The 17,337-nt window shown below is 37.0% G+C and overlaps 1 protein-coding gene across 7 annotated transcripts in view, besides 2 other annotated features; it reads left to right on the top strand.

Annotated features, from left to right (window-relative positions):
• The window catches only part of COL25A1 (collagen type XXV alpha 1 chain), a 493,934-nt gene that overhangs the window by 48,250 nt on the left and 428,347 nt on the right, over positions 1–17,337 (top strand). The window lies entirely within an intron of this gene.
• Positions 5,515–5,684: an enhancer, noted in NCBI's record as "experimental_71700 CRE fragment used in MPRA reporter constructs". NCBI's record gives its function as "activates a minimal promoter by MPRAs in K562 erythroleukemia cells, with activity observed for both the introgressed and non-introgressed 4:110169966 or rs75525989 variant alleles {active_cell/tissue: K562}" and the evidence as "EXISTENCE:reporter gene assay evidence [ECO:0000049][PMID:34662402]".
• Position 5,599: a transcriptional cis regulatory region, noted in NCBI's record as "Neanderthal adaptively introgressed variant 4:110169966 (GRCh37/hg19 assembly coordinates) or rs75525989 in the experimental_71700 CRE". NCBI's record gives its function as "modulates activity of the experimental_71700 enhancer by MPRAs in K562 erythroleukemia cells {active_cell/tissue: K562}" and the evidence as "EXISTENCE:reporter gene assay evidence [ECO:0000049][PMID:34662402]".

Genomic DNA, 17,337 nt, shown 5'->3' with positions numbered 1-17,337 from the left:
AAACTGCTCAATAGCGTTCCCAGCCTTGTGACCTGGGGTAAGTGATTTAAACCCCCTTCAGCCTCAATGTCTTTGGCAAATGAAATAAACAATAATAATAGTAATAAGGTTACTCTACCTTCCTCATAGGATTGCTTTGAGAATCAAATTGAGTACTGAGGCAAAAGGCACATTTAATTATGTTAGTGATTAAGAAATACAATACATAGTCTTTTCTGGCTGTGGTGACATAAAATTATCTATACCACAACTTGTTGGTGGGATTCATCAGGGTTTTTGCTTCCTTTGTTCTTTAAACAATTCTTTTTTTTTTTTTTTTCTTGAGACGGAGTCTCGCACTGTCGCCCAGGCTGGAGTGCAGTGGTGCGATCTCGGCTCACTGCAAGCTCTGCCTCCTGGGTTCGCGCCATTCTCCTGCCTCAGCCTCCTGAGTAGCTGGGACTACAGGCACCCGCCACCGCACCGGGATAATTTTTTGTATTTTTAGTAGAGACAGGGTTTCACCGTGTTAGCCAGGATGGTCTCAATCTCCTGACCTCGTGATCCGCCCGCCTTGGCCTCCCAAAGTGCTGGGATTACAGGTGTGAGCCACTGCGCCCGGCCTAAATGTTTAAAAATCCTGTAAACAGAAATATTTTATTTTTCTAACGTTGCTATTATTTGGTGTTGGTCAAAAAGTGGATTTTAGAGTGATTCCAGGTGGAAAAAACACCTAGATTTTTTGAGTAAAAGTTAGATTAAAGTAAATGTTTATGAATTTTTGAACTATGGTATGATAGTTAATTTTGTGTGTCAACTTGGCTGGGCTATATGGTACCCAAATATTTGGTTAAACGTTTTTCTGGATGTGTCTATTACAGTGTTTCTGGATGAGATAAACAGTTAATTCCATAGACTGAGTAAAGCAGGTGGCCTTCCCCGATGTGGGTGGGCCTGAATAGAACAAAAAGGCAGGGTAAGGGAAAATTTGCTCTCCCTGCCTGTCTTCAAGCTAGGGCATAGGTCTTCTCCTGCCTTTCAACTCAGACTTGGACTGCAGCTTATACCTTTGGCTTTCCTGGTTCTCAGGCCTTAGGACTCAGGTTGGAATTATACTTCCAACTCTCCTGGGTCTCTACCTTGCTGGCTGAAGATCTTGGAACATTTCAGCCTCCATAATCATGTGCACAAATTCCTTATCATAAATCTCCTTACATCATCATATTGGCTCTGTTTCTCAGAAGAATCCTGCGTAATACAGATTTTGGTACCAAGAGTGGTTCTAGAGGAACAGAATCTTTAGTTTGAGTTTTCTGAATTGGTTATGGGGTTTCTGGAATTGGCTTTCTCATTTGATTAGATTTAAAGAGCTAAATGACTCAATTTCCAGTAGGAAAGAGAAGACACAAGTAAGTTACACGAAGAAGCAGCCCCAAAGCTTATGATCCCAACTCCTGCTGCCTTGACTTCTTTCTCCCAGTCTGTGCCTATGGCCTCACAGAAAGTTTGCTATGATCAGTTGAGAGAGGAGGAAAGACCTGAGCCAGCTTTACAGATGTTTCCACAGGCACCATGTGAAAGTGGGCAGCAGTAACACTATAGTCCTTTTCTGGGATACCCCTGAAGGTCAGTGGTAAAGGGAAACTCGCCTAGTGGGCAGAGTTCAAGCTGTGCACCTGGTTGTAAACTTTGCTTGGAAGGAGAGATGACCAGACATGCGATTATGTACTGATTCATGGGTTGTATCCAGTGATTTTTCTGGACAGTCAGGGACTTGGAAGGAACTGATTGGAACGTTGGTGACAAGGAAATTTGGAGAAGAGGTATATGGATAGACCCACCTGAATGGGCAAAAAACATGAAGATGTTTGTGCTTTATGTGAATGCTCACCAAAGGGTGACCTCAGCAGAAGAGGATTTTAATAATCAAGTAGGTAGGGTGACATTTTTTGCGGATACCAGTGAGCCACTTGCCCCAGCCACACCTATTCTCACCCAGTTGGCTCATAAAGTAGCCACTGTGGCAGGGATGGAGGTTATACATGGGCTCAGCAATGTGGACTTCCACTCATAAAGGATGATCTGGCTACAGCCACTGCTGAGTGCCCAATCTGACAGCAGCAGAGACCAGCACTTAGTCCCTGATATGGCGCCATTCGCCAGGGTGATCAGCCAGCTACCTGGTGGCAGGTTGATTTCATTGGACCTCTTCCATCATAGAAGGGGCAGCATTTTGTTCTTACTGGAATAGACACTGTAGATATGGATTTGCCTTCCCTATATGTGATGTTTTTGCTAAACTACCATCCATGGACTTATAGAATGTCTTATCTGCCCTAGCAGCATACACACAGCATTGCTTCTGATCAGAACTCACTTTATAGCAAAAGAAGTTGGGCAAATTCCCATGCTCATGGATTTCATTGGCCTTGCAACGTTCCCCAACATTCTGAAGCTGCTGGCTTGAAAGGTGGTGGAGAGGCCTTTTGAAGCCTCAGTTACAGTGCCACTTCAGTGGCAATACCTTGCAAGGCTGAGGCAAGGTTCCCTAAAAGACTGTATATCCTCTGAATCAGTGTTAAATATATGGTGCTATTTCTTTCATAGCCAGAATTTATGGGTCTAGGAATCAAAGGTAAAAATGGGATTGGCATCACTCACTATTACCCTTAGTGACCAACTAGCAAAATTTTTGCTTCCTGTTCCCATGACCTTATGCTCTGCTGGTCTAGAGGTCTCAGTTCCCAAAGGAAGAATGCTTCTATCGGGAGACACAACAATGATTCCATTGAAATGAAAGTTAGGATTGCTCCCTGGCCACTTTAGATTCCTCATGCCTCTGAATCAACAGGCAAAGAAGGGAGTTACTGTGCTGGCAGTGGTGACTGACCCTGACTAGCAAGGGGAAATTGGACTGCTATTCTACCACGAAGGTAAGGAGGAGTGTGTATGGCATATAGGGGATCTCCTAGCGTGTCTCTTAGTCTACCATGCCCTGTGATTAATGTCAATGGAAAACTATAATAACCCAATCCAGACAGGACTGCTAACAGCCTAGATCCTTCAGGAATGAAGGTTTAAGTCACTCTACCAGGTAAAGAAACATAGTCAGCTAATGTGATTGCTGGAGGCAAAGGGAATACAGAATGAGTGGTGGAAGAAGGTAGTTATCAATACCATCTATGACCACATGACCAGCTACAAAAACAAGAATTATAGTTATCCTATTTCCTCTTTATTTTGTTATGAATATGTTTGTGTGTGTATGTGTGTGTGTAAATATATTAAGCAAAAATCTGTTTTCTTCCCTTATTCCCTTATTATGTAACATAAGATGTATCACTTTCGTATCATAGTATTAAGTAGTATTAATTTTACGTCATAGTATTTAAATTATGGGATATCAAGAAAAAGATATAAACATAACTCAAGGACTTTACATCCTCTTCTGCAGAAAGGATTAATGTGTTTTTGGTTGTATGCAGAATGGTTGTATCATGTTAGGCAGAGTTATAACCTTGTTATTGTCTTTAATTGGAGATTAAGTATGGTTTAAGAGGAAGTATATGGGTTAACAAGGGTGAACTTGTGATGGTTAGTGTTGTGTCAACCTGACTGATCTACAGAGTGCCCAGATACTTGGTTAAATATTATTCTGGGTGTGTTTGTGAAGCTGCTTCTGGATGTGATTAACATTTAAATTGGTATATTCAGTAAAGTAGATTGCCCACCCCAATATGGGAAAACCTCTTCCAAGCCACTGAAAGGCCTGAATAGAACAAAAAGGTAGAATAAGGGAGAATTTGCTTTCTCTGTCATAAAGCTAGGGCACAGACTTCTACCTTCAGGATCAGACTTGGACTGGAACTCACACCATTGGCTCTCTTCGTTCTCAGTTCTTAAGACTTGAACCGAAACTATACCATTGGCCCTTTTGGTTCTCCAGCTTGCCAGTTGTAGATCTTGGGACTTGAACTTCTCATCCTCCATAATCATGTAAACTAATTCTTTACCTTCTCTCTCTCTCCCCATATGTGTGTGTGTGTGTGTGTGTGTGTGTATCTCCTACTTGTTCAATTTCTCTGGAAAACTCTAATACATATGGTTAGTAAGTTTACCTCCCCCCCCAGATATTTGTGCCTTAAAGCCTTTATGTTGTTTGGATGATACTAATTCTCTATAATATATCTTGGAGACAATTCATAATGAGACTATTGTTATCTTATTTTATAGCAAATCTATCAAGCTGACATTTTTAGAAAAGTGAACAGACCTGGAAAGTTTAAATTTGTTACCCCAGGACAAAGAGCTCATCATACCAGCATGGGGCCTAGAATCTAGGTCTTCAAACTCTTAAGCTATTACTCTTTCTACATAACATACCGCCAGTACTACTGGTTGCCCATCTCCTCTACAAAAAAAGTGGGTTTTGATTCCTATCTTTCATTTACTTAGTCAGTGTAGCCCTTAAGTGCTTCAGTATCCTCCACATGTTAAGATTTCTCTCATTAAATTAGAGCATTTGAAGCAAATGGGGGTGAATTTGCAAAGTATAATAATATAGATTATTTATAAGTAAGTATAACTTTAGAATTATCTCAAGTAAGTAGTTACCCAATTTCCTTGCTAACACAACCTTTTGTTGATAGAGGAAAGTAGGAATGTTATTTGGCCTGTTTCAATGAATATGTAAGATTTTAGTATAATTGATGTTTTATAAATACCTAAAAACAGTTCATCTAGAAAGCTTAAGTAGGTCATGAATATTTAGTAACTTTTTCTTTTTAGTAAATCCTTTCTTTAATAGATGCAAAGATTTAAAACCTATCTTAATCAAAGTGTGCTATGTTCGGTCTTATTGACGTGGAATTATGATTATTTACTGTATTATACTGACACATAAAAACATTGTTGTTGTTTATTTTGTCTCTCCATTTAAATTTCAAAATAGATTTTGGCTGTAGTGAATAAGACGATTCCCTCCCCACCCACCCCAAGCATCTAACTGTGTTGGGCTAAGGTGGACAGCAGGTAGTTCATTAATACATTAATTATGCAAAGAACTACATTATGTTCTGGGTAATATGAATATATTAAAGACATGAGGTATGAAGATCACATGAATCTTGGCTTCAAGTTACTTATAGTCTATTAGGAGATGACGCATATAAGGAATTACAATGTGGGATGTTCATCATGTTCTATAACAGAGGTCCCAATAGAGTGCTGTAAGAATTTAGAGAAGAGTCATTACTTTTGCCTATGGAGCCTCAGAGAAACCTTCCTAGAGGAGCTGGTATTTGAGCTGGACTTTTAAAGGCGAGGCTAGATTTGAACAAAAGAAGACATTCCTGGACAGTGTCTACCATGTATGTAAGTTAGTTAAGTTGATAAAATATCTAGTCCTTATTACAATGTCTGGCACCTAGTGGATTTACATTAAGTATATGCTGAATAAGTCCATGAACCATGGAGTTAATTGTATGCCACTAGCTGACTGTCTCCCTTATATGAGGGATGTCAGAAAAGCAATCAGAAAATTTTTGGCCAGGAGCTGGCTTGAGTAGTGCTTCTTCTTATCAAGGACTTTAACTGCAGTTTCCTTACATTCATCTTTCCATCAACATTAACCATCATGCTTTGTCCCTGAAAAATGGTGCAGCTGCTTGGTGGCTATTTCACCCACCCCTCATTAATCAGCTGTTCACCGGAGAGCTGGACTGATGTCTGACAAACTTGATCCCCTGCAGGGCATGAGAGGAGGAGTAGTCTGGCAGCTGCGAAGTACTAGTGCTTTGGCTTGGCTTTACTGCATGGCATGGGTGGAGATAGATGGATGCTTATTTTCATGCCATTTATGAAAATAGGAAGATGCTGATTCTTTTTGTGTGGGATACTTCTGAAATGCTGTGTCAGCGGAGGCAAGCAGAGTATGGAGCTGAGTACAATGTCGCTCTGGATTCCTTGTCTTCACTGCTGCCAGTTGAATGGGTGGCTGGAACAGGGGACTTCATCAACACAATTGCCCTGATAACCAGTGAAGATTTCAGCCTCCTTCTAGGATCAAGATATATTCTGGACACACTTGTTAGTAAAATAAATCTTTACCATAGTTGAATATATGCATATTTATTGATGAAAAGTTTGAGAGTCTAAAAAAGGAAATATTAATTCTATTGAATACTCATAATTCTGAATAAGCTAGGTGAAGAATAAAAGGTTTCAAATTACCCTGGCTAAGGACTAGAGAATAATAGTAGTTATAATCGTAGCAATACATTTATATATATGTAAATATACATATATATTTACATTATATAGCAATACATTATATAGGCATGCGTAGAAGGTAAAATATTCTCATATATTATCTTGACTGTGGGACAATACGGGTTTTTCTCAGGTCTTTTCAACTCTTTTAGCAATTGACTCTGTTGACTATACCTCCTTCCGTGAACTTACTTTCCCTTGACTTTCATGACAGTAAGCTCTCTTGATTCTCTTCTTTCTGTTATCTCTCTCCCTTCTTGACCCGTTTCTTGCCTTTGCTGGCTAAAAGCATCCTTTGATGTTTTACTTGGATCTTGTCTCTTATGTTTCTGTATTCTTCCTCTTGGTGTCATCTGTTCTGGTGAATCTCAAATCTTTACTTTAGGTTTTGATCTTTTGAGTTGAAGACACATGTTTTTAACTACCTGGTGGTTATCCCATGTAGAATGCCTTAGTTTTACTTCCCACCTAGCATGTTCAAGACTGACTTCATCTGCTAAATATGCTCCTCCTCTATCTATCTATTTACTGTTTTTTCAGTATTAACTTCTTCCAGGTCTTCCTTTCCTATGATTCTAACATTCATTGGTTTTAAAGCCCTTGCATTGTACGTAAGCAATATTACATGTTCCCTAATTCAGGCCCAAGTGACTGTAGGCTTGTCTAATAGTTTGAGCTGGTCTTAATTGCTGTTTTGCTACATAAAAGCATTAACTGGCTTCTTTTCTTTCACTTTTCCTTACCTGACATTCAAGCCTTCCACGATGGGCTCATTTCCACATTTTCAATCCTCCCTCCCTCCTTTCCTTTTTTTTTCAGTCTTGCTCTGTCGCCCAGGCTGGAGTGCAGTGGTTCGATCTCTGCTCACTGCAAACTCCCCCTCCTGGGTTCAAGCCATTCTCCTGCTTCACTCAGCTTCCTGAGTAGCTCAGATTACAGAACCACACCAGGCTAATTTGGTGGAGATGGGGTTTTACCATGTTGGCCAGGCTGGTCTTGAACTCCTGACCTCAGGTGATCCACCCGCCTCGGCCTCCCAAAGTGCTGGGATTACAGGCATGAACCACCACACCCAGCCTCAAGCTTATCTTTCTTTACTTCCTTTTTCTATGTTCCAGCTGATCTGGAACACTTTAAATTTCTTAAATGCACAAACATCAAGCCTTTTTGTTTTAGGTCTTTTATTATATTATTCCCCTTTTAAATCCCAGTTCAGATGTAAGTTTCCTATATAGAAATAATTTGTTCATCTTCTGAACCTACCTTGCATTCCAGGGCATATTTTGTGCATTTTCCACGTAAGCTTGAAGATAGGACTCATGTTTGGTTTCATCCTTGTGTCCCTTACAAACCCTAGAACAGAGGCCTCCTCCTTAATGATTTAACAAGTTTATAAAGTAGATAAATAAATTAATGAAGAAGTTTAACACAGAATAGGTAAGAAAAAGAGAATAGAATCATATACAGGAAAAAAATGATCATAGTAGAGTCAATTTTTTAGAATAATTAAATTGGAATACAATTTAATTCTAAAATATTTATAAAATTTTAAGATTTGTTGAATGCCTATTCAGATTTTTTTAAATTTATAGATAAAGATATAGATGTACTAATTATCATAAACTTGATAGGAAAGTTGATACAGTAAAATATCAAATCACTTTTGAGAAAACAAGAATTCCTTGAGAATTGGTGGAGTACTCACTCATCAATTAGAATACCATTTACTGTCTTTACCCTGTTTGACTATCCAAGGTCAGAATTTCATTGATATAGATGAAAATGATGTAGTCTCTAGAGCTTACTTTTACTTTATTTGTTTACTGCTAGAACTAGTAGTTTTCTAGCTCTACCAGCTTACTGTATAGATTTGTCATTTGCATTTTATATCTCTGCTTAATTTTATATTAAGATATTGGCACTTACATGTAATACCTTGAGGACAATTTGAATATTAATCATTATAATCGTCATTGTTTTAAACTCTTGTATCTGAGCAGCCTTAGGAATTTGAAGTATCTGCTATGATAGTATCTATTTTCATGCTTAAGTCTTTTTTCCTACTTTAGGTACCCTTATTGCTGTTAATGTTTTCATTTTGTGTATTGTTTATGTTTTTTAAATTTTTTTTTTTTTTTTTTTTGCTTTTTAACAAAAAAGCAACTAGAGGTTCCTCTACTGAAAAACTAGTTTTCAGGCCTGGCCTCTGCATATCTCTCCTACCCATGGGCAAGGGCCCCTGGTCTTCCATCAGCCGGCCTAACCCTGATCCTGATCCCTGGGACAAATCCCTATCATGTGGTGTGAACTTGCCTGTCTTTAATCATTGAGTTGTTTTTTTGCTGCTACCTTTGGGGTATAGTTGTATTAACTGAAGCTCTGTCCTATTCCTGTTCCATGATTCTTGACATAGGACTTCTGTCTTTTTCTTTCAGATTTAATCCTTACGTTGTGCTGTAGTTTTTGTAAACAATCATCTGTTTGTTTTTAGCTGATACCCTGTGTTGGTAGCTGCCGCTGTACTCATGAACCCAAGCTTAAGGTAGACTTTGGTTCATAGCAGGTATTCATATAATGGTTATAGGTGATTGGATGATTAGATTCAGCCCTTTAATTCTAAGGGCTTACTGATTCTTTCCCTGCTTGTCTGGTACTCTGAAATGTTCCTGCATTTTATTCTGTCATCACCATGCTCCACACATATGATAGGATACCTTTGTTATTTCAAGTTTGGCTTCCACCATTGCCGACTTCTCCGGAGTGGCCTTTTGATAGATGCTTTGACTTCCAAAATAAACTTCCTTTCTGCACCTTCATACCAGTTAATTACCTCCTGTATACCAGTCCCAACCCAGAGGACCAAGTTCCTGGAGACCTTGCAGATTCCTATATTTGGCTATAACAAACTGGACCATATTGGTCTATGATAAGGATGTTCATATTTTCTAGGTTTGCCTAGGAAAGTTCTGGGGTTTTTTGCTTATTATTCTGGTATAATTATCAATAGGGCCTCCTTTACTCTCAAGGTATCTAGGTCTAGATAATAAAGTATATAATATGGTCACTTAAACCCTTCCTAAGTTATGACAGAAGCTGAACTCTTAAATTTTGTCTTAACTGTGTCAATTATAGTGCCATATTGAGAAAGTTGGAGGTTTACTTTTAAAAATCAGATTTTTAAAGTTATCCAGTGTATTAAGTGACTTTTAGTTTATGGCTATTTGAATAGAGATTATAAAAATATAAATATAAAGGTATCAAGACACAAAATATTTTTCTAGAGATCCACATATTTATTGGGCACTATATTATCATAGTATTAAGAGTTTCTGGGAAGCAAATTTTAAAAGATTTGCTTCATGCCCTTCATCAAATATTCTGTGAGGCAACGCACTACCCAGACACTTAATTTTAAACCTCTGTGATTGTATATGTTTAGTTATGTAAGCTCTTTTGGGGACTGCAGTGCAAGTTCTGCTGTTATTGAATCACTCAAGTGAAGAATGATAACAATTCTAAAAATACTGCATCTTGGGTATTTTTTTAAAAAGTGATCGGTTGCCTTTCATGTGCAGCATAGCAGAAAATAACTAGGCCCTCATAATTATTCTCAGGGCTGCAGTTTGTGAATTAAAACTTAAATGCCTTGAATTGCAGATGCTTCAACTCCTTTTTATTCACTTTGCAAAGTTGCTTAAAATTGTTGCAAATTACTGTAATAGAAGGGGAAGAGTGGGATCTTGTGAGTACTTTTAAATGAAGCATAATCATAGGAAGGCCTACAAAGTGACACTTTTTTTGATATAGTCTGTGAATTTAAGGATATTATCATCCTGCTTTTTTTAGTATGTCAATGGATACTAAAATATTGGAAAGTGGAAAAAGATAATTCACAGTGTAGACACTGTTTTTCTATTGTGCATGACTTAGGGAATTCGGTTTACCTCGACTTAGGGAATTCAATGCCTGTTTTTCAGCTGTTTTTCATGATGAAAAAAACCATGCTTTTTTTTTTTTCTTTCTTTCTATTTCTCTTTACTTCTTCCGGGATAGATAAAGAGGACAGTGTTTGTGTATGACTGTGAGATCAACAAAAGTAGGGGTTTACTGTAGTCTAGAGCTGCTTTGTGTAGGTCTGAGAATCCTCTATGTAGAAAAGAACCTTTATCTACTAGACTGTTTTAATCTTTAATGGTTAACTTCACTGCCTTCAGTACTTTCTGAGACAAGTAATTCTACATGCTCAACAGATGCAAGAGAAACTCACTCAAAAAACATAGATTTTATAGGTATAGAAGGGACAATGAAAGAATTTATCCTCTGACCTTCCATTAGCACCACAACTCTCTTCTATAGGAAGATGGTAATCTATGTCAGATTTAAAGACTTCAAAGTGGCTATTTCATTCCAATATTAAAAATCTCACTCTCAGAGAAATCTTTCTTAGATCTAATCTACATTATTCATATTGGAATTTAAGGCTATTTCTTTTGGTTCTGTCCTCATTGTAGATAGAGAACAGCTGGTCACTGGAATAACTGATCAAACATGTTAAGAATGTTTTTAAATCACTCATCAGTCTTCCCTTCACCAGGTGGAATAATCCTAGTTTCTTTATTCTTTCCTAATAGATACTACCTACCAACCCTTTAATTATCTTTGTGGCTCTTCTCTAGTTGAGTTAAATTTGAACCCTCCAACTTAGGTATGGATTTAAAAAAAAAATTTTTTTTAGGATAAAGAGTAACTATCTGGTCCTACAGAGCTCTTAGCTTAATTACAGCTGTTCCAAAGGCCCCTCTCATCTCACAAGCAGAGTTGGTTCATACACCTTTTCCTTCCAAGTTTACAGAACCATTTCTTCTGTGTATACTGATAGCATGAAGATGCATGGAGTCGAACAGAGAGGAAGACTCAACTTGAAGGTTATACTCTTTTTAACTCCTATTTGCTCTCCCATCCCACATTGTAAAATTGTATTTAGTTTATGAATAGAACTATTAGTTGAAGATTCAAATAGTTTAATATTAAGAAACGAAAGTTTTTAGAAACACTGAAATCTACCTAGAAAAAGCTTTTCAAAAATTTTATAAAAGAAATACAAGGGAGATGTTGGTCAGAGGGTATAAAGTTGCAGATATGTAGGATGACGAAGTCTGGAGATATAATGTCCAGCATGAAAACCTTAGTTACTAACATTGTATTTATACTAGAAATTGCTAAAAGAGTAGATTTTAGGTGTTCTTAATACATATACACACACAAGATACCTATGTGAGATGATGGATGTCTTAAGTGACTTGACTGTGGTAATCACTTATGTATATCAAAACATCATGTTGTATACCTTAAATATATACAATAAAAGATAAAAGAAATATATTTGCTAAGTTCATAATGAACAATTATTATGCATAAGGAACTTCCCAAACTCTGGAAATAAAAGAATTAAAAAAACTTTGGTGAAATAAAAAGCCAGTCACTTCTATCTATTTTTATAAAAGTGTTGGTGTCTAAATGCAAATAATGTCAATATCAAGCCACCTTTTACATAGAATGTGAGTTTTAAGGAACAGGGAAGAATCATCCGGAATAGTATGTGACTTATGGTCTCCTGGGATTATACCATAAGTTTTGTCCAGTTCAAGCTCCATCTTAAGAACACTACTGTTGGCCAGTCTCCCAGACCATAAAACAACCATTCATAATTTGACCTTCAACCTCATCCCCTCACCTCTTGAAAAACTTTGACAAATTGAGTGTTGGTATGTGTGTTTATTGCAAAGAGTGAAGTGAAGTGCAGGTGAGTCTAAGGACATTCATTATTCCAAGGTTAGTATTTGCCTTTAAAAAATGGGGCTAAATACTTTTGAACAGAATAGGCTGTTAGAAAAATTGTTAGTGGAATTGACTGTTTCTGAAACACATGATGTGAAGCGGGGGAAATGTAAATGTGAAACAGCAGCTATTAGAGCGTTTGTAGAAAAAGCTGGATGGCAAGAAGATAAGTGTGTGCAAAACAAGCAGCATTCCATTTTACAAAGCCTCGGGACACTAATGTCACAGAGAATGTGACATATGAAAGGTGAAGCCCATCAACCATTAATATTCCAGACCCAGGGCCCTTGATTTTTGTAGTCAGCTCCCACTACAAGCTTGACACAACTCAAGGACACAGGGTGGAGAAAAGTCAAGTCTTGATATGGTGACTTTCAACTTTTAAAAAAAAAGTGCAGTAGAAGTATATTTTACTTGTAATAAAAAAGACTTATGAATACATCAGGAATCTGTACAAATGAATTAAAGTCATGGAGGTAGTTGTCTGGGAGTGAGATTGGGGTTACTAGGTTCCACTAACTCTACTTCTACAACAAATTCTAAATGTTTCCTGTGTTGTAAATTAAAAACTACTTGTTTTTAATTAAGACCATCTGTAAGCTCAAAAAGGACATGGGGACTAACAGAGTGCCAAGGTGAAAACTGGTGGTGTCCACCTGAGTCATTTATTCCTCAAGCAATTTTTTTTTTTTTTTGGCTAGACAGATGCTTCATAGATTTGACTTAGCACATGACTTGTTTCCTCCACAGTTCCCCCATTAAGTGGCTACCAGGTGATTTAATGAGGGTGTATTCAGAAACCATCTAGAAAACAGACCACCCTCCCTGGTGTATATATGACTTCGTAGAATTTTTAGCAATAGATCTTGATTATTAAAACAAGGTTTCTATTATTTTAAAGATTGCACAAAGAAGGTGAAAGTGAAGAGAGAAGGCACTCTAGAAAACACAAACCATATTAGATGACATTTTGGAAAGAAAGAGGGCATTTAAGGGAGAATGTTGGCAAAGCTAAAAAGGAGTAGCTTCAAAATAGAGGAAAAATTATTTGACATTAATGGATATTACAGGTTTCTAGAATGTGAGAATTAAAAGACACCTTAGAGATTCTGTAGCCCACTCCTTTGCATTTATAGATTAAAAAAGGAAAAACTAAACCAAACAAAAAACCTCTTACATCCCAGAAAAGGCTTCCTTTCTTTTGTTTCTGTGTTCTTCTACTGATAGGCTGATGGGATGAATACTAAGATAATGAACAGTAATTCAACAAGTAGATGACAGAGGCATTGTGTAGTGTTCTGGAAGAATTAATCTCCATTCAAATTAACAAATAATAACAAATTGACTTTAGGAAAAGCAAATAAATACCCTCAAAAAATTATTTTGTACTCTCCATTGTTTCTGAAAGGATTTATACTATAATATGGGATAAAAAGGTGTACAAGAGATCACAGTAACAATTGTTGAACTTAATGAACTCCCAGACTCCTGGACAGACAACTTAAATGTACTATTTCATTCAATTCTTTCAGTGACCTATAAGGTCACTTAAGAAGATGAAGTACAGAGATATTAAATCACTAGCCCAAGTGACAGCATCAGCGTTTGAACTCAGGTCTTTCTGTCAGTGGGGTCTCTTCATGACTGTGATATTACTGTGTTGCTGATTATAAAGGCAAAATACTAACATACTGCAAGAAAGATGTAAATGGACGTGTGAATTCAATGAGTGATGAAAACCATTTGGGCCAATGGAGCACAGGGCTGGAGGTGCATCTGAGTTGGTGGTCCTGGTAATGGCTTTTGAAGGATGGGAGATTTTAGACATATATTAATGAGAAGTATGTTCCTGAAAGTTTAAGGATGCCACATTACAGTTTTGCACTGCATGACAATGCTTAGAACAGTAACAAACTGCATATATGACCCATCAGATTTTAATAGATTTTAATAGAGCTGAAAAACTGTCACCTAATAATGTCATAGCTGTTGTGATGTCATGGCACAATGCATTACTCACATGTTTTCGGTGATGCTGGTGTAAACAAACCTACTGCACTTCCAGTCATACAAAAGTATAGCACATACAGTTATGCACAGTACGTAATACTTGGTAATGATAATAAACAACTATGTTACTGGTTTATATATTTACTATGATATACTATTTATCATTATTTTAGACTGCTCCCCTACTTATTAAAAAAAATTTAACTGTAAAATAGCCTTAGGCAGGTACATCAGGAGGCATCCAGAAGAAGGCATTGCTATCACAAGAGATGACAGCTCCGTATGTGTCATTGCCCCTGAAGACCTTCCAGTGAGACAAGATGTGGAGGTGGAAGACAGTGATGTTGATCATCCTGACCCTGAGTAGGCCTTGGCTAAAGTGTGTGTTTGTGTTTTAGTTTTTTAACAAAATGGTTTAAAAAGTAAAACCAAAAAAATTTAAAAATTGGAAGTCTATGAAGTGTACAATGTGTTTGTGTTATAAGCTAAGATTTATTACAAGACAGTCAAAAAATTAAAAACATGATGAAGTTTGTAAAGTAAATAGCTAAGCTTAATTTATTATTGAAGAGAAAATTTTAAAAAATAAATTTAGTGTAGTCTAAGTATACTGTGTTTATAAGGCCTACAGTGGTGTACAGTAATGTCCTAGGCCTTCCCATTCACTCACCACTCACTCATTGACTCACCCAGAACAACTTCTAGTCCTGCAAGCTCCATTCATGGTAAGTGACTTATACAAGTACCACTTAAAAAAATATTTTATACTATATTTTTACTGTAACTTTCCTATGTTGAGACATACAAATACCATTGTGTTACAATTGCCTACCTGCTGTACAGGTTTGTAGCCTACAAGCAATACAATATAAATAAATAAATAAATAAATATATATATATATATATATATATATATACACACACACACACACACATACACACACATATATAATAGAGCTACATTATATAATAATATAAATATTACTATATTACTATAATATAAATATAATATTACTACAATATAGCTATTATACATAGTATAGCTGTATTATATAGCCTAGGTATATAGTAGGCTATACCATCTAGGTTTGTTTAAGTACACTCTATGATGTTTGCACAATGACAAAATTGCCTAATGATGCAGTTCTCAGAATGTATCCCCATCATTAAACAAAAGATGACCGTATTCTTTTAGCAATGATGGAATGCATTTAAGAGTAGTTGGTTCAAAGATTTCCATCAGTAGAAACCTGTTTGACTTGAGTAGTTGTCATTGCCCTTATTGGGCCTCTCAGGAATTACTGATTAGCCTATGAAGGGGTTCCCCTCGGGTTGATGACAGTACTCCCATCCAGAAAGTGGCTACCTCTACTCTCCTACCCCCACCAGTCTGCATGCAGGAGCTGTTATCTATCATCAAAAGGGAATTTCCACTGCCTGCTCTGTACCAGAGAAATGCTGGGCTTCATAAATATTGGTAATGGATGCCTGAATGGGGTGCAAGTTGGCAGACCCTCTGGAATCTGGACCAAGGATATACAGAGAATGGGCTAGGAATGGGGAAAACAAGGAGTAGTCCCAAGGAGAAGCAGAGCTGCTGTGAGAGGCAGAGAGCAGCCCATTCATGGTTCTCTGACCACACACCTTCTAGTTCCACAGTGGTCAGAGGGATCTCTGTTTGTAAACGAACAAGCACAAAACACAGGACCATTCATTTGGCAGAAAATTGAGATCAAAGCTCCAAAATGCATGATAGTGATACCTGGTACTGCAAGGACAAAAGGAAAGTTCATTAATACTAGTCTACAGAGCCTCACATGCAGTAAGCCCTCAAGCACTTGGTCGATGATTGAACAAAAATTGCAAGCAGAGATAATAAAACTTTGAGATAGTTGCCTGACATAACCTTTCTTTGAATTCACTTATTCAGTACATGGGTGCTACTTAGATTATCATAATGGGCCAAAACTCTGCCTAAAGTCTGAGGCAATACTTAAAAAGTATGTGTTTCGCTATTCTCTCCCTAAAGCTGCTTGGTAAAAAACTTGATTAGGAAAAAAATCTAAGCCCAATAATAAAAGTGTACCAAAATATTAAAAACAGAATTACCATAAGATCCAGCAATTCCACTTATGGGTGTATACCTCAAGGGAAATGAAAACAGGATCTCAAAGAGATAGTTGTATACCCACGTTCACAGCAACATATTAGCAATAGCCAAAATGTAGAAGCAACACAAGTATTCACTGACAGATGAATAAACAAAATGTAGTATGTATATACAATGGACTATCATATAGGCTTAAAAAAGAAAAGATATTCTGACACATGCTATGACATGGATGATCCTTGAAGATACTATGTTAAGTGAAAGAAGGTAGGAACAAAAGGACAAAAAATATATTGTTTTACTTACATGAGGTACTTAGAGTAGTCAAATTCAGAGACAAAGTGGTTGCCAAGGGCTGGGAATGGGGGCCTAGAACAGGCAGTTATTGTTTAATGGGCACAGAGTTTCAGTTTTGCAGGTAAAAAATGTTCTGTGGATGGGTGGTAGTGATGGTTGTACAACAATATGAGTATACTTAATGTCACTGAACTGTACAATTAAAAATGTTAAAAGGTAAATTTTCCATTATGCATATTTTATCACACAAATAAATAATTTTTTAAAGCAAAAAAAAAAAAAAGATTGCCATCAAGCCATTCCTTTACCAGTATACATTCTGTGCATTAGTACCAGTGGAAACTTGCCAATTTTGGCTTTAAATAACCCTTACGGCAACTCTCTTATTTATTCATGTGATTTTTATTTCTCTCTTTACTGCCCTGGTTGAAGGTTTATGCCCTTGTAAATTTTTCATTTGAAAAGTTCCATCTGGGTGGACCCTAATTTTCCCCCAAAATATGTTGAGCTCTGAAAGATAATTTTTCTAAATACCTCGTGTATGAGATGTTTTATTCATCTCCACTTATGAATGGAGACAAATTGCCCTTCCTTTCTATTTCCCTAGCTGTGCCATTTATTTGAGCAGTTATGCCTCAGCACTTATTTTTTGTAACGTGAAGATCACATTAGAAATGTTTTTTTGTTTCCTCTCTTGCTTTCCCATGAAGGATAGAAAAGTACTGCTACTGGGATCCTGGGATGATATCTAGTGTTTTTATAAAATAGGGCATATTGTAAGTGCTATCTCTTGTAAATAAGTGATTCAGATCACTTGGCTTTTTAGCATGTTC

Source organism: Homo sapiens, chromosome 4 (assembly GCF_000001405.40).
Source record: "Homo sapiens chromosome 4, GRCh38.p14 Primary Assembly".
NCBI lineage: Eukaryota > Metazoa > Chordata > Mammalia > Primates > Hominidae > Homo > Homo sapiens.
Note: the sequence above shows the minus strand (reverse complement) of the source record. Positions and strands in the feature narration are given on the sequence as shown.